The sequence below is a fragment of the Homo sapiens genome, chromosome 3 (genome assembly GCF_000001405.40).
Source record: "Homo sapiens chromosome 3, GRCh38.p14 Primary Assembly".
NCBI lineage: Eukaryota > Metazoa > Chordata > Mammalia > Primates > Hominidae > Homo > Homo sapiens.
In genome coordinates, this window is record NC_000003.12 from 31,721,786 (window position 1) to 31,740,430 (window position 18,645).

At 41.8% G+C, this 18,645-nt stretch overlaps 1 protein-coding gene across 16 annotated transcripts in view; it reads right to left on the reverse strand.

The window, feature by feature from the left end:
• OSBPL10 (oxysterol binding protein like 10) overlaps positions 1 to 18,645 on the reverse strand; it is a 416,868-nt gene that overhangs the window by 60,961 nt on the left and 337,262 nt on the right. For all 16 annotated transcript variants that reach the window (XM_047447390.1, XM_047447386.1, XM_047447391.1 and 13 more), the window contains one exon: positions 11,472 to 11,626. In XM_047447390.1, coding sequence (XP_047303346.1) covers positions 11,472 to 11,626 — 155 coding nt within the window. The remainder of the gene's footprint in view (positions 1 to 11,471; positions 11,627 to 18,645) is intronic.

Genomic DNA, 18,645 nt, shown 5'->3' on the forward strand with positions numbered 1-18,645 from the left:
AGAACAATTTTAATAAGGACTTACTATTGAGTGCCAGGCATTGAGCTGGACATTAGCGATATATGATCTCACATAATGTTTATAACATTTTCATCAGGACATACCATTATACAACCATTAATGATTCACATGTTTACATTCTTACATGCAATCATTGAAAGAGTTTGGGTTCAAAGTGCTTTGTCAGACTCCACAGCTGGGGCTCCAGAGAGACATCATGTTAATCCCCATCCCCCATATCATGAAACAGCTTAAAGAGACCCAAATGCTGAGGAGAAAAAAGCTTATTCACCTCATTCTCACCAACCTAGAAACGCAACAATTTAACTGCCACCCCCTCAAAATACCCTTGAGACTTAGAAATTTTTTTTAACTCATCTTAACAGCCAAATTATCAAAAACAGAATCTCTTGTTTTCATTATGATTTTGTACCTTATGTCCAACCAATTGATTGCTCCGTCAAGGAACCTGTATTCTCAGATGATATAAACAAAAACCTGGCTTTTGTGAGGTGGAGACTGAAGTTTATAAAGGCTTCTCATAAGCCCTAGTCAGTGACCATCAGGAGCACCTGCCCCTCATGTCTGCAGGGCACAAGAGTCATCTGCTTGAGAACCACTGATCTAGCACATCAATACCTAAAATGGGCAAGGATTTTCCCATTATGGGAATTTCTGTATAATATTACATTCTAAATAAAGGTTTTAGCACTAAAAATTCATCATAATGGGGTTTTTAAAAGCCAGGTAAACATAAGTGTAAGTCCCTCTTGCTTCCATTTCTTTTCTCAATTCAATACATGGAATTAGCATCAATCTACTATAAGAAAAGTTCACATCCTTCAAAGGAGTAGTTTTCTCCTTGAATTACATTATATATATATATTTAAAGTCAGAATTACAAGCTGGCTCTGCATTTTAGTACATAAGCTAGGAAAAAGAAGATATTTGGAATCTGAAACACATTTATCAAAAAATAACCGTCATTCCTGGGGGTTTCCAGGGTAACCTACAATATTAAACTCATAATGTGGGCTAAATACATTTGCTGTAAATAAAGATTTGATACTCTTACAATATTAATTTTTAAATAACTATTAACAAAGTTATATACATTTCTTATATTTTTTTTAAAGAAAAGCAGTTCTGATGAGATGATCAAGAAAAATGTGAATGGAGATTTGGAGCAATCTAAAGAGCACTCCCATGGTTTTAAGGATTGATACACTGTTCTCAACTGCATTTAATTTCATTTCCAAAAAAGTTAGAGTTTCCTTCTCCTTCGCATGGCTGTATGTCCACCACTCTTCTTATACTTATTAGTAATGTGGTCATTTAATGGGACCACTACAGCCAATAGAGAGAACTTTATGTGACATGAGGACTGTCCAGCACAGGCTTAGCTGGCTGTGGATGGTGAATGACAGAGAAAAGGATGGAGATTGGGAGGGACAGGAGCACACTGTTATCTGAGAGAGAGAAAAGACAGTGGTGACAGAGCACCGCATGACACCCAACTCCACTGGGCACCTCATGGAGTCCACGGCCTTGGCCAGGGCTGCTCCAGTATCTTTAGGGGTGAGGAAGGCTATGGTCCCGGGGTGGCTGGGGACAGGATGGATAGCCAAACAGCTGCTGGTACAGTACTTTCAAGTATTACAGAATGGCCATTTGAGTCCTACATCCATAAGATCTGAAAAACACTGCCAGAACTTAAAGACAATTCTATGGCTTACTCACTTGCTCTGTTTCTTACACACACACACACACACACACACACACACACCCCTTTCCCTCTAGTTGCTCACATCCATCATCAGTACCAAAAAAAATTTTAAATTTACAATTATTTAGCACACAGTAAGCCCCTGCAATGCATAGAGCCATAAGCCATCTACAAAACTCAATTCAAATTACAAAAGGGATACAAGAACTCATCGATTAACTCAGGCAAAGCCCAAAGTAAATGTGAGAAATATTTTACTCTTTTCTTCCATAACATTCTTTCTCCAAGATCATAAATCTCTGAGCGTTGACTTTCCATCTTTAGAAGGCGAGCATCATCAGGGCCAGAAAATAAATCACTTTTAGAATAGTCATTCATCGTGGGAAAATAAAAATATAAGCCAGGCAGATGGTGAAAAGCTCATTTATACTGGTATAATTTCATAGAACTAGGCAAGTGAGAAGGAAGCAAGGGAGCTGTGAAATTTAGGGCCATGTTTAGAGGGTGAGACTAAATACCCCAAACAACAGAATACTAAAACTTTTCATACCACATCGCTACAATCTCTTCAACTCTTCACCTCTGGTTCAGATCTGACTTTTTCCCTTTGTGGCAACAAAAATGAACGGAAAAGAGAAAAGGGGAAGGAGGAGGGAAAACTCAGACTAAACACTGCAGTGCTTTAAGCCCTTTTCATTCACCAGTTTCAAAGCGCTTAATTCTTTGAGTACTGCTGCAGGATAGGAGAGATTATACCACTCGGTGCTGAGCTTTTTTATATGGCTCCAGCTCACAGTTGGCAAATCCAAGGTGGCTACCTCCCCAGCACTCTGGTGGGTGTTTACATCACAAAGCCACACAGGCCTGGTGGGAGGGGAGAGAAGGAAGGCAATACTGTGAACACTCCTAAGGCCGCTCCCAAAGACTCTCTCAGTCCAGTGTCGAAACCCATTAAAAGCCCCAGCACATATCCTACTGGCCATAGCAAAGGCATGATTTCGGACCTTCCACTATATTCACCTCCTCTCTTATAAAAACAACACCCACCCAAGAAGCAAAACCTTATTATCACCCACAAAAAAGGAAGAGAGGAGGAGAAAAGCAATGGAGGAAAGAAAAAAAATCCTTGAAAAACGAGCATAAGCTGAAATTAATCCCCCAAAACTGCACAGAAAAATATACTATCATGCCTTGTACTCAGACAGCTCATGAAAGCTGCCAGAAACCAAGTCCAACAAGTTCTTAAAAAATGTGTGCAGGGTTTAGGTTTGTGTGTGATGATTACGTTGTGAGTTGCTAAGATTGAGAAGGAAGGAGGGCAGAAAGATGCTGTTTTGCAAGACAGACAGGAGGAGCTCTTAACCACAGGAGGCAGTATAGCCTATGAGATAACCATAGAAGCACATCTTCAAATTCCACGTCATCTCACAGATGGTCATCTCAATTGCTGCAGGCCATAGGTAAACCCACAGCCACACGGCACCAGGACCTACACAGTCTTAGGGTACTAACCTTGGAAACGTCACTTGGTTAAGAGACATTTCTCTTGCTTCTAATCTCATGAATACAGAATAATTATAACTATTATGAAACATGTACAGAGCTAATAAACTGGGTTATGAAAATCTGCTAAACTAAGGAAGGGCTCCATTCAATGCCCACTATATAATAAGAGCTCAATATCTGTTGAGTGAATAAAATAATTGCATAGATGAATCATCACTGTTTAACTATACTGGAACACAGAACGAACTAATTGAGGGAGCAGTATATTTTTAAGCATAACAACATTATGGCTCTTTCTGATTTTTAGTGAGTCCTAAGGGTCTGATAGCTAGAAGGCATATCTTCTACATTTGCCTAAAGGATGAACTACTTTCCCCCCAGACCAACAACAGCCAGAAGAGAAAAAGAAAAAACCCGGATGATCAAATCATTGTTCATTCCTTTAGTGTGAGGATCTAAATGGAATGTCTTCAGCAGCTCTTCTAAAAGATTATAATAAGAATTCTATCCCATGATGAGAGACCCTCACACAAAATAATTCCATGTATAACTACAACCACTTAGCACCTGTTAGATAGCAATCAAGGCCACAGATGAGGAATGAACCAATTCATAGAAGCATCTTCTGCCTGGAGAGCTCCAGGACGCTGACCATGGATGAATCTTTCATCACAGCAGCATATGTAAGTCATATGTCACTCAACAGGTTAAATTTACTTCTACTGGAACTCCCGGAAGCCACAGGGAAGAGCACAGAACAGAGATGAGAACGAGAAGGAAGCATGCCCTTTAGTCATGAATACTACCAATGAACCTCATCGTTCACATTCATTCATTACGTACTTAAGAGTATCTGCTACATGCATCGTACTTTCCTAAATACTCTGGAGTTTCCAGAGAAGAATCACACATGGTGTCTTCCCTCAAAGAATTAAGTCTATGAGATGAAACTGCCAGGTCAGAAAAGTCTTGTGGGGCTGAAGATGACCACTACATGAAGAAAACCTGCTTGGGGTACATCGGGGTATAGCAGACACAATCTATTATGACCCAAAAGCCAATACTGTATTTTCTCTTGCTGACAAAAGCCCAGTTCTGGTCTCTCTGGGATCTGAGATCCCTTTGATCTCAGGTAAGGCACACTCCACAGCCGGGGAGGGTGACTCATGAAAATCCAGTGACCCACCACCAGTTACAGGACTTGGAGTAGGTATGTGATCTAGTTCTGGCTGTGAGATAACAGGGGGAGTGTACTAAGGGGCTTCGCTTCCCAAACAAAAAGTGTCTTTTTAATTTTTTTTTTTTATTTTATTTTGTGGAGACAGAGTCTCGCTCTGTTGACAGGCTGGAGTGCAGTGGCACGATCTCTGCTCACTGCAACCTCCGCCTCCCAGGTTCAAGCGATTCCCCCTCCTCAGCCTCCCAAGTAGCTGGGATTGTAGGCACCCACCACCATGCCCAGCTAATTTTTGTATTTTTAGTAGAAACAGGTTTCACCATGTTGGCCAGGACGGTCTCGATCTCCCGACCTCATGATCCGCCTGCCTCGGCCACCCAAAGTGCTGGAATTACAGGCGTGAGCCACCGCACCTGACCTCAGAAAGTATCTTGAGAAGAGCTCCCATCCTTTCTTTTAAAGGATATGTCATGAGGATGCAATATTTGGGACTACAGCTATGATGCTGCCACAATGAAGTGACAAGCATAAGGATAAACAGGAGGAGGAATGGAAGAAACTTGTATCTTTGAGGCCATCATGAGTTGCTGCACCACACCTGGAACCACCTACTCCCAGAATTCTTTTGTGCAAAAATTTATTATTATTATTATTATTATTATTTGCTGAGACTGGATCTCACTCTGTCACCAAGGTTCAAATGCAGTGGTGTGATCACAGCCCACTGCAGCTTCAACCTCCCAGGCTCAAGGAATCCTCTCACCTCAGCCTCCCAAGTAGCTGGGACCATCGGCACGTACCCAGCTAATTTTTATATTTTTTTGTAGAGACAGGGTCTATCTTGCCCAGGTTGGTCTTGACCTCCTCGCCTCAAGTGATCCTCCTGCTTTGACCTCCTAAAATGCTGGGACTACAGGTATAAGCCACCATACCCAGGCTTAAATTTATTACTATTTGAGCTATTAATTGTAGGGTTTCCTGTTATTTGCATCTGAAAGAATCCTATCCAATATAGGAGATAGTGTAGTATGAAGGAAAGAGCACTAGCTTGGGAGAAAGGAAGTCCACATATCAATTTTGCGTCAACCTAAGTTCTGTGATGCTTGGCAAGTTAAACAACCACTCGAGTTTGAGGAATGGCCATTTGACTCCTAAAGACTATTCTAAGATTTAGTGAATCAAAGGTCATGATTCAAAGGAAAAAAAAAAAGGTCTATTCTACAGATTCTTGGAAGGAGATGTAGTCTGTTTGATGATGAGAGATGAGGAATGGAGTGGGGAAGGATAATCCTATCACCCACGAAATTTACTTATAACAAATTTTAAACTTGATCAATGATATTTCCTATGCAGCAACCATTTGGAGTTAAACTCTGTGAGGTTATCACAGGATTCAATAAAGTGATTTTCAATCATCATAAGTCAGTGATAGCTATACCTCACTCTTCAAACTGTTGACCACAAATAAATATGTGCCACCTGTTTCAAACAAACTTATAAGATTGAAACTTTAAAATAATTATTTAAAGGATCAAAACAACATATTAACCTTGTTCATCTCTAAAAATCTATCACCATCCCACACCGGATACATCCCCAACCAACATCTACCTATACCTTTATGTATCATGGGGATGAAAAATTTAAAAAAATGATAAAAATGTGTTGAGGGGATTGTACTGGCCAGGCTTCAAGCTGAACATCAGAGGATTTCAGATGGACAGCTTTATGGCTTGTTAAGTAGTTCAAAAGTTCAGTGCTATAATGACCATTCAATCAAAAGCATGAAAATTCTTGACGCAGAACTCAGCTAAATCTTTTATATCAGTCTCCTTCCCTTATTCTTAAAACAATTTTTCTTCTTTTGGGAAAGGATGATTAGGACATGTTTACTTGAAAATTCAATTATGCAATTTTTTAACCAAAGTCCATTTAGCTAACTTATATGCTGATATAGTACTCAGTACATAAAGATATTATAAGTTTTTCTACGCCTGCTAGATTTGTGGTGGTATAGGGTATGTGGTCTCTTGATAGCATTGTTGCCACTGTAATCCAGATGACTAACTAGGCAAAGCTGCTAACTGAGACAGTCAACACAGGGGTTGATAGGAGTTGACAGTATGCTATTGAGGAACAGGCTTAAAAACCCTCTGCTTAGTCTCCAGGGGTGGGACTGATAGTCCTGATTGTCCTAAGGCCAGGGGTAGGTATCTGGCACCAGATATTTACCCTCAAATAATTAACACAACATTATTTTTCATTGCTCCCCCTTTCCATTTTACCCATAAAAAATATGAGAAATTTAAAGTTATCAAATGCTCTTCAACTAGTAAACGGATAATCTGTAGATCCCATACATACTATTCAATGCAAAAGGAATGCAAAAGGAATGCCTTAGAATGATTCACATAACATGGATGAATCTCAAATGCATTATGCTATGTGAAAGAAGCCCTCCTGCATGATTCCATATATATATGACATTCCGGGAAAGACAAAACTATAGGGACAAATAACAGATCAATGGTTGCCAAGGGCTGGGGGACAGATTTGATTATAAAGGGGCATGAGGGAATCTGGGGGCAATAGAACTGTTCTATACAGGTTGAGTATCCCTCACCTGAAATGCCTGGGAGAAAAAGTGTTTTGGATTTTGAATTTTTTTGGAAGTTGGAAGTTTTGCATTATACCGGTTGAGCATCCCAAATCCAAAAATCTGAAATCCAAAATACTCCAAGGAGCATTTCCTTTGAGTGTCATGTCGGCCTTTAAAAAGTTTTGGATTTGGGAGCATTTTAGATTTTGAATTAGGGATTCAGATTTAATTCAGATCTAATTCAGATTTTGAATTAGATTTGGATTAGGGATACTACTTTGATTTGTTAAAACTGAGAACCTTGCATTTTAAAATGGTGAATTATATTGTTTGTGAATTACGCCTCAATAAACCTGACTTTTAAAAAACAGTTAAGGTTTTGTTGCTCAGATATGTCCTCTAGAAGGTGAGTGTACATGGTCACGTGTGAGCTCTGTCATTCAGGATGGGTTTATCTCATTGCCCTGGGCTCTCCTGTTCCCTCCTGTGCCAAGAGCCCAACCAGTCACAGTGGGTGCAGAAACAGAAACCACTCCAGGTGTTACAGTCAGAAAGGAATTTGATATGGGAATTAGGTGCCTGTAGAATTATTAAAAAGGCTGGAGGAGCAGACATCAGGGGCCCCTTAGACTTTTCTTTTTTGGAGGAGACAGAGTCTTACTCTGTCGCCCAGGCTGGAGTGGAGTGGCACAATCTCGGCTCACTGCAACCTCTGCCTCCCAGGTTCAAGCAATTCTCCTGCCTCAGCTTCTTTGTAACTGGGATTACAGGCGCACGCCACCACGCCCAGCTCATTTTTGTATTTTTAATAGAGATGGGGTTTTACCATGTTGGTCAGGCTGGTCTCAAACTCCTGACCTCATGATCCACCCACCTCAACCACCCAAAGTGCTGGGATTACCGGCATGAGCCACCACGCCCAGCCGGCACCTTAGACTTTTAAGTTCAAGGTCACAACATTGTAGGTGGCCGTGATTCAGAGGTCAGGAAGCTGCTGCTCTTGCCACAACAGATTCCCGCACCCAGGTAGGTGGGACTAAGGCCTGGAACTCTAAGTGTGGCCACCACAACACCACAACTGCCTCTAAACACTCCAACCTCCATGCCACTGCCTGCCAGCAGCACGAGCAGGAGGAACTTGGTCTCCAAATCTCACACAAATGCATCTCCCAGTAACGTGTTCAGAACTCCAACTGTAAGAAAGTCTGGGACATGTAGCTGTTTCCAATCTCTCCAATCGAGAAAGTGGAAAGAAAGTTAAGAGAGTGGCCGGGCACGGTGGCTCACGCCTGTAATCCCAACACTTTGGGAGGTCAAGGCAGGCAGATCACGAGGTCAGGAGATCGAGATCATGCTGACCAACATGGTGAAACCCCGTCTCTACTAAAGATACAAAAATTAGCTGAGTGTGATGGCGCCTGCCTGTAATCCCAGCTACTCAGGAGGCTGAGGCATGAGAATCGCTTGAACCCGGGAGGCGGAGGTTGCAGTGAGCTGAGATCGATCACGCCACTGTACTCCAGCCTGGCCACAGAGCAAAAAAAAAATCTCCAAAAAAAGGGGGAAAAAAAAAAAGAAAAAGTCAAGAGAGCTTGGTCCACAGTCTCTACTCCAATCACCATCCTTCTTGTCCTAAAGTAAGGCATACATGATGAAGCGACACACGGAAAACCTTTTTCTATCTTGATTTACATTTCAGATGGTGTTTTTTGTTGAAAAAATTGTTTTACTAATAGGTAAAACCAAGATCCTAACTCATTTCATTATAGAAGAATATTTCATTTTCACATTTAGTTAGTTCTAGCCCCAGCAGAATAAAATTCTAAGATCACTACATTTTATAACAGAGCCGACCACAGCTCTCTTCTAACTCACGTATTAAATATGTACAGCTCTTTGAGCTTTTATTCTGCAGGGAATTAAACAGACTAAGCTTCAAAATGCGTTACTGTTTCAGATGTAGGTTATTTTATGGGAAGCCAGAACCAGCAGAGGGGAGCTACCTTTGGTACCCCACTTATCCCCCCAAAGACCTAACATGTTCTAAACGGTAAACCAGAAGACAATAGTTAATTTAGTTACACGACCATAATAACCACAATTCTGAAAGTTAGTTTCCCAATGATCACTCACATAAGTAACTATATCCTCTAGATCAAAAGCATTAAGGACCTGCTCATAAGGCATTCTTAACCTTTAGGAATTTCACTTCATTCTATATAGAAGTTATTCCTCCACAATGTACAGAAAGGAGGCAACAGCAACATTTTTTTTTCTGACAGAAAAACTATTGTGTGGATGTCGCTAGTTTTTTTAACTATTAAGACAAAAAATGTGGCAAAGCACAATGGCCTAAGAAGAAAAATAGTGTCCAAGCTCTACTAGCTGTTTGGGTTTTGAGAATCATCTGCCGTAGCACTCACTAGAAAAAATGAGGGGAGTCTTTGCCAAAGAATTCTAACTCTCCCTTCTCAGAAAACCACCAAAACACCAAAACACCATTCTACTCCATAAGACTTTCCCTACTACATGGAATCAAACAAAATCTTAACTTGCTCTGACAAAACAATTAAGGGCAAAAATGACAACTAGAAATTAATGACTGTCTCTACTTTAATGAAAAAAGCTCTGGCTAGTTCTTCTTCTTCAGGATGTATTTTTTTAAAGTTGAACTTGGGAATTAGTTATTTCTTTCTTTTTTTTTTTTTTTCTTGAGATGGTGTCTCGTTCTGTTGCCCAGGCTGGAGTGCAATGGTGCGATCTTGGCTCACTGCAGCCTCTGCCTCCTGGGTTGAAGCGATTCTCCTGCCTCAGCCTCCCAAGTAGCTGGGATTACAGGCGTGTGCCACCACGCCCAGCTAATTTTTGTATTTTTAGTAGAGATGGGGTTTCACCATGTTGGTCAGGCTGGTCTCAAACTCCTGACCTCGTGATCCGTCTGCCTCAGCCTACCAATGTGCTGGGATTACAGGCGTGAGCCACTGCGCCCGGCCAGGAGTTAGTTATTTCTCACAGATAATCGTATGCTAATTTTTTTTGCCAATGCTACTGACTGGTGAGGCAAAGTGGGCAACAACTTTGTGTAAAAAACAACAGACCTGGCCTCAAACCTTGGGGGTCAGAGGGAACACCTATCAGAAAAACAGAGAAGAAACACTAAGGAGGATTTACAAAGTCAGAAATAGCATGAGCCATAATAAGTAAGTTGATTATGTGATAGCCCCAGTTAGGTTTTGCCCAAGAATGCTGCTAGAAATAAGGATCTAAAAAATGATTACTAAAGATCTAATAACTCACTTCTCTACCACTCACACGGTTGCCAACTTACCTTCTGATTCACTTACACATCAGCTGCATGAGTTTCTTGACCCTGAAACTCCTTGTACATACAGAGCAAATGCCTTTCAAAAATCCACAGCCACTATTCACTTCACACCCTTCTAACACCCCTTAAAGATGCCGATGAAATATTTGTAGGCAGGCTAATCTGACTTTATAAGAGTTATGCTACTACATCACTGTCCGAGAATATAATCCTATGCTGCTTGGAGAAAAATTTCCATTGATAACCAAAACCATTTGATCAAAGACACTGCCTTGGGGCTTTCAACCTTATCAAATAGATTTTGTAAGTGTTCTACAATTTTCAGGCTAAAATGATTTCAATGGAAATTAAGAACAACCTCTAATGCATGGTTAAAGGAGGCCTCCGCCAGTTCAAGAGACTATATCAAGACTATATCATGTGCATCAAAAGAACAAGAAAAACAAAAATGGACTCAGGACACAAAATAAAATTGACAAAAGGAAACACTGCATTTGGCTCCCCTCCAGCGGCCACTTAGAGGCAGAAATAGGAGAGCCAGGCTGCGGGCAGATGACAGAGAGTCCATGAAGCCTGTTGGAGCCTGGCTGATCACCAGGATCTGCAAGGACTGCTCTCCTGACGAGGCAGTGCATATCCTCGGCAGCCTGAACCTGGGCTGCAGCTCAATGCCCAAGAGGAGTGTTGGCCATGGCCCCACAGATCCCGGCCTGGCTCAGGAGCATGCAGGAGTCGAGCATGTGAGGCAAGAGCTTGTATCAGCAGGAACCACACGAAGAAGCCATTATTCAGGGGAGCGACATAATATATTGTAACTGCTCCCATCATGTCAATAGGCACCATGTTAACGGGTCTGTTCGAATTTCTCCCACTTGAAGTTAAAGTGACTCCCATTTCAATGAAAATAGGAGATTCCTCATTCGTAGGATCACAATTCACCCACAGCAGCTGCCAGACACAAGAACATGAGAAGTGCCGGGCATGCACATAGCTGATTTTGTCTCTCCAGGCAATTCTTCCATTTTTTAATTTGTCTCCTCTTAAAACAAAGAGATGAGCAAGTTACAAATATAATTACTATATTTCTGAACAAGCGATAACACAAGCCATGAATGCACTGAGAGGACTGCACGCTTACCTCTGGCTCTGGCTGTGAGGTTTGTTCGTCTTCAGCAGAGTTTGGTAAAATTGCCCAGGTTATGTTGGCACTGGCTGATGGCAAAGAGCCAAGTGTCCCATTTTTCAGCTGCTCTGTGGAATGTGACTTGGACCCGTGCCATCCCAGGATGTTTTCTGAAATAAAGACCTAGAATGATGCCAAGTATTTTCCAAATTAAACATTTATAGCTCATGAAATATTTGTACTCACTGTATGAAGAGACCTACTTGAAAAGGGCATGAGGTAAAACACAGAGGGCTTGTTTTGAATGAAGTACCAAGTGCAGATTCTGATCATCTGTTGATGAACTAGTTTCTGTATAATATCAAGATCAGAATCATCACAGGCTGTTTCACTCCCCAACAGTGGACAAAAACAATTGCGATTTACCAAAGCCAGATAAAGGTGTTTTTTTTTTTTTTTTTTTTTTTTTTGAACTTTTAAAAATATTTCTGGCCAGGTGCGGTGGCTCACGCCTGTAATCCCAGCACTTTGGGAGGCCGAGGCGGGTAGATCATGAGGTCAGATCGAGACCATCCTGGCTAACACGGTGAAACTCCATCTCTACTAAAAATACAAAAAATTAGCTGGGCGTGGTGGCGGGCACCTGTAGTCCCAGCTACTCGGGAGGCTGAGGCAGGAGAATGGAGTGAACCTGGGAGGCGGAGCTTGCAGTGAGCTGAGATTGCGCCACTGCACTCCAGCCTGGGCGACAGAGCAAGACTCTGTCTCAAAAAAGAAAAAAAAAATTCTAAATATTCACAATAGAAAGTCAGATTCTATCAAAAATAGGCTGCTCAAAATGTGGTTTGAATTCTAAGTGACACAATGGCCATGGCTCAGAAAAGATGCCTGCAAAGTGAGCACAGGATGCCACCCCTGCCCTCAGACGTGGCTTGGTGTGGCAGATGTCAGGAAGCCCCATCACCAAGGACACAGGTACTCATTCCATTCTAGCAAGAAACACTTTTACAGATACCAATCCAGCAAACCAAAAACCATTTTTCGAATCCTCCACCAACTCCCTTCGGGGGAGGGGAAAAGACTTTTACTCTAATTTTTTTTAAGGGTCATATATTATTGTAGAACATTTTATACACCTACTAATAGAAACAGGAGTAACCAGAGGTGGATTTCTTTACCCCATAGCAATTCTGCCATTCGAATAAAGAGGTCTCAGCTGGGTGCAGTGGCTCATGCCTGTAATCCCAGCACTTTGGGAGGCTGAGGCAGAAGGATCGCTTGAGCCCAGGAGTTGGAGATCAACCCAAGCAACAAGGCGAAACCCTATCCCTACAAAAAATATAAAAATAAGCCAGGTGTGGTGACACAAGCCTGTAGTCCCAGCTACTTGGGAAGCTGAGGTGGGAGGATCTATTGAGCCAAGGAGGTCAAGGCTGTAGTAAACCCAAATCATGCCACTGCACTCCAGCCTTGGTGACAATGCAAGACACTGTCTCCAAAAAAGCTAATAAAAAATAGATAAGTCTCAAGCTCAGTTGACTGACACTCTGTAGATTCTGTTCTAAGTCTAAAAGCAAAAAAAGAAAAATTAGGCTAAAGTACAGCATGACTCATGAACTAAAATTCAACATTTCAGGGTCTCAGATGTTCCATCCATAAAGCAATACTATCTGTCAGCCTTTTCATTAGAATTACTCAAAGAAAAGTCTACAGGTATCCCAAACATTCCTGACATATCCCCAGGGGAATCTGGTTGTCAGAGGCAGATGAAGACACTGTGTATGTGCGGTGCTTATGCACCTGTGTGCTGCTGTATGCAGTATTAGCCAACTCAAGTGTATTTTTATGCAAAAATCCTTTTTTAATGTCAAGTGTTAGGTCACATAACTCTACTGTTAAAAGCCTCAAGTGGGCCAGACACGGTGGCTCCCACCTGTAATTCCAGCACTTTGGGATCCCGGCTGAGGCGGGTGAATCACTTGAACCCAGGAGTTTTGAGTCCAGCCTGGGGAACATGGCAAAACCCTGTCTCTACAGAAAATACAAAAATTAGCTGGGCATGGTGACATGCACCTATAGTTGCAGCTACATGAGAGGCTGAAGTGACAGGATTGATTGAGCCCAGGAGGTCGAGGCTACAGTAAGCGGTGATTGCACCACTACCCTCCAGCCTGGGTGACAATGAAAGACCCTGTTTCAAAATAAATAAATTAATAAAGGTCCCAAGTGGCTTATCATTACAATTGGAACAAAATCTAAGCTGCCTGGCTTTGCTCTGTGACCTGCCCAGCCTCATTTTGTTCTCTTCTCCCCATTGCTTAGTATGCTCAAGTCACATCAGTATTTTTTTCCGTTTCTCAAATGTGCCAAGTTCATGACAGTCTTAGAGTGTTTGTGCATTCTGTTCCTTCCTCCCAGAGGGCTGTTCCTCCAGTCCTTCTACATCGGGGAGGAAGTCTCCTGTGTAGATCCAGGAGTCAGCTAAAATATCACTTGCTCAGAGAGACCTTCTGGGACCTCCCTGGCCAAAATAGCACCCCAAAGGCACTCTCTGTCATATTGCCATTTGCTGTCTTCCTGGGACTTAGCACTGTCTGAACTCACTAGCACACTCATTTACTTGTTGATTGTCTCTCCTCCCTGGAATGTCAGCTCCTTGAGGACAAGAACAATACTGCCCTTGCTCACAGCAGTGTCCCCAGAACCATGAACATGATTTAGCAAAGAGTGTACGCTCAGTATGAATGTGCTGAAGAAATCGGAGACAGAAAACTTTAAGAAGAGTGCACGTTATAGCCTCCTAAAAATTAAAAAATAAAAAACGGCCAAAAGAAAGACATAGAATAGAATGGTGGTTGCTGAGGGTTGGAGAGTGGATGGGAGGGAATGGGGAGTTAACGTTTAAAAGGTAAAGAGCTCCAGTTTTGCAAGATGGAAAGAGTTTTGGAGATTGGTTATACAACAATGTGAATGCACACATAAAATGTGTACACATAGAATGTGTACTGAGATGTACACATAAAAATGGTCAGGATGATGCATTTTATGTTATGTGTATTTGACTACAATTTTTTTCTTAATGGCAAAAAAAGCATCCATATAGCAGCACTTCATGTTATTTTTTAAAAGGTAAAAACTCACAACACTAAAACCAAAGGCTAAAGATGCACTAATACCAGAACTTGAGAGAAATATCCGCAAATAACAAGGTAGACGGAGCTGAACTAAGAAAACCAGCCCAGGATTCAAGACACTAGAATCTGCCATAAGAGAGGTGGACAGATACCTCTTGCCTTTCCTACTGACCAATTCCCGCCTCAGAAACCTCAAACTGGATTCAGATCTAAAATGCCAAACAGTTGTTCCATAGATAGAGGGGTGCTATTTGAAAATTCTTTGCTTTATTACACAAGCAGTAAACATCCTGTAGAGCAGTTAGGAAATCTTTTTAAAAGATAAAGAAGTTTGGGCAACACAGTGAGACCCTGTCTCTACAGAAAATTAACAAACTAGCCAGGCACTGTTGTACACGCCTGTAGTCCCAGCTACTTGGAAGGCTGAGATGGGAAGATCACTTGAGCCCAGGAGTTTGAGGCAGTAAGCCATGATCATGCCACTGCACTCCAGCCCAGGCAACACAGTAAGACCCTGTCTTTAAACAAAACACTAGGGGGAAGAAAAGAGATCTACTTGCCTAGGCAATCAGGACAACGTTCCCTCCATTCTTCCCACACCTCAACTCTGTGTCTCCCTCCCCTCTATCCCATCATTATCCAGATATGGCAACTTAGGGCACCACAGAGCAAGAAGTGGAGTCTGAACTGGCAGTGGTAGGCTGTATCTTGGGATAGACAAAGACCAGGACAGGACAAGGAAAGTTGGCAATGCATGCTGGGGAACACAACTTTCTGTGGACCCTATGAATTCCGAATATCAAAGAGCCGGTGCATGAGAAAGACGCCCATCTCAGATCAGTTCAGCTGCTTTTAAAAAGTGATCATGGGTTTAGGAGGCTGGATAGAGCTGTCTCATTTGGAGACGAAGGCAAAAAAACATTCTTACGTGGAGTGAATAAAAAGGACTGTACAGAGCTTGGGGAAAAAATATTCTCAAGAAGGCTAAGAGGAAGAATACATGTAAAATTTCTAACATAAGGTGTTAGAGAAAACACCAGGAAAGGTGTTTCCTCAGCACATAAATATAGGACAAAGCACCCTCTATGAAACAAGAACAGAAAACCAGAAGAAGAAAACAGGCTGAGGTGAAAAGAGAGATGGATGCATCAAGGAATTATTATGAGGAAACTAAACCAACATTAGTAGAATTAAAATTAAAACTGAGAACAGGAAATAGTGGAATCAACACCACAGAAAGTCAAATAAATAATGTATTGAGATAAGGCGGCTCTACCAATCTGCAGTTGCAAAAGACACAGATGACAATCATGAGGCAGAAGACAATAGAGAAAAGCTGGGTGCAGTGGCTCATTCCTGTAATCCCAGCACTTTGGGAGGCCGAAGCAGGCAGATCACCTGAGGTCAGGAGTTCGAGACCAGCCTAGCTAACATGAGGAAACCCCGACTCTACTAAAAATACAAAAAGTAGCCAGGCATGGTGGCACGCACCTGTAATCCCAGCTACTCGGGAGGCTGAGGCACGAGAATCACTTGAACCCGGGAGGCAGAGGTTGCAGTGAGCCGAGATCATGCCACTGCACTCCAGCCCTCCAGCCTGGGTGACACAGCAAGACTCTGTCTCAAAAAAAAAAAAAAGAAAGACAATACAGAAGATGCACAACAGAGATCCAAGAGATAAAGGATCCATGTTCCTGAAGGAGAGAGACCAAATCAATGGATAGACAAAAATGTAAATATAAATACATGTCCTGGGCTGAACAGAGAACTGTGGGGGCTGCTTAAAGGAGCCACCACACTCCAGCAAAATCAATGGGAAAAAAATGCACATCTAGATGCAGCTTGGCAATATTTTCTCCGGCTTTTTATTACTGAAATTCCAAACACACACAAAAGTAGACAGAATAGTATAATGAATCCCTAGTTTATGAAGTTTGGCAACATTTTTGAATAACAAAAATCAAGAGAAAAATTTTCCAATCATGGAAGCAGAAAAATTAGACCTGCCTTAAAGGAAAAAAAAAAAAATCAGTTTGAATTTTGCGACAACACTAAATGCCAAAAGATGAACAGGCAAACAGAAGAATGTAAATAGAAACCGACAAATTTGGAGGGGGTTGGGGAGCTGAGGGAAAACATTCATCCCCAGCCAAAATGTCTTTCCCCGGTAAGAATGGCCAACATTTATTGAGCTCTTGCCAGGTGCCAAGTACTGTGGTACATGCTATCTGTGCATTGCCTCATCTAATCCTAATGGTGACCCACGAGGCACGTACATATTACCACCATGCCTACTTGACAGATGAAGAAACAAAGGCATTAAGAACTAGTAAGTGGTAGAATCCAGATTAAAACCCATGCAGCCGAGCTCCACAACCCAGACTCCTACGCTATGCACCATGTGCCCTCTCAGCAGCACTGCAGAGACTCAGAAATGATTCTTCTTGCAGGAAAAACAGCTTGAAAATATTTACCAATGTATGAATAAAAGAAGCAGAATTAAGAACTCAAGAAATGGGGATGTCATATACATATATATTAAAAAAAAAACTGGTAGTAAGCAATGAACCCAGTTAAACACAGAGCTGAGCAGGGCTGGGACTACAGTCAGGCAAGTAAGACATTCACCTCAGATGTAAAATAAAAGGAAGCATCAAGAAAATCAGTCATCAAGATAAAGGGTAATTTTTTCTAAGAGACAGGATGCCACTATGTTGCCCAGGCTGGAGTATAGTGCTATTCACAGGTGTGATCACTGCATACCACAATCTTGAACTCCTGGGCTCAAAAAATCCTCCTGCCTTGGCCTCTCAAATAACTGGGACTACAGGCATGCACCACTATACCTGGCTGAGGTAAATTATATTTTAACACAATATTTTAAAATTGAAATAAGAAAAGAAAGGAAGAGGAGGGAAAGGAAAGGACGAAGGGAGAAAGGAAGGAAGAAACAAGGAAGAGAGAAAGTCTTATAGTACTCAGCCTCACTTCACCCTAATCTCCATCCTATCAGATCCTCTCTGCTACAGATTGAATGTCTATGTTCCCCCAAGATTCATATGTTGAAGTCCTAAACCCCAATGTGACCATATTTTGAAAAAGGGCCTTCACATTAATAAAGTTAAATGACATAAAAAATGTAGGGTCCTGATCCAATTGGATTAGTGTCTCTGATAAAAGAGGAAGAGAGACCACTGCTAAAAGAAGTGGAAGACATACCAGAGCTCGGTTGCCCTCCAGGCTCACACACCAAAGAAATGCCATGTGTGGACACAGCAAGAAGACAGCTGTCAGCAAGCCATGAAGAGAGCCCTCACCAGAAACTTTTGGCCCCAGGCTGGACTCTTGATCTTAAACTTCCAGCCTCCAAAACTGAGAAATTTTTGTTCTTTAAGCCACCCAGTCTACAGTGTTTTATAATACTGTAGCAGCCCATGCTAAGACACTGTCTTTATGTAAACTTTTGATATTTTGTTCATTATCAATTGTTTTTGCATTAATTTTGGTTAAAAATATTGCATTAAAACATAACTACTTATCTTAACTACTGAACTTCATCTTTTTATCTTAACTACTGAAACTTTTGACATCCTTTTGAATTTTGCACTCAAGGCTAGTGCCTCTTTCATCTCACCCTGGTCCCAGCTCCAGAATTGGCTATGAATAATACTTTTTTTTTTTTTTTTTTGAGTCAGTCTTGCTTTGTTGCACAGGCTGGAGTGCAGTGGCACGATTGCAGCTCACTGTAACCTCTGCCTCCCATGTTCAAGTGATTCTCCTGCCTCAGCCTCCCAAGTAGCTGGGACTACAGGTGCCCACCACCATGCCCAGCTAATTTTGTATTCTTTTTGGAGAGATGGGTTTCACCATATTGGCCAGGCTGGTCTCGAACTCCTGACCTTGTGATCCACCCGCCTCGGCCTCCCAAAGTGCTGGGATTACAGGCATAAGCCACTGTGCCTGGCCGCTATGAATAATATTTCTAAGCATGGTTACATAACTGAATATTAAAGTCACATATTACTTTTAAAAAGAATTAGTCATTATCATACATT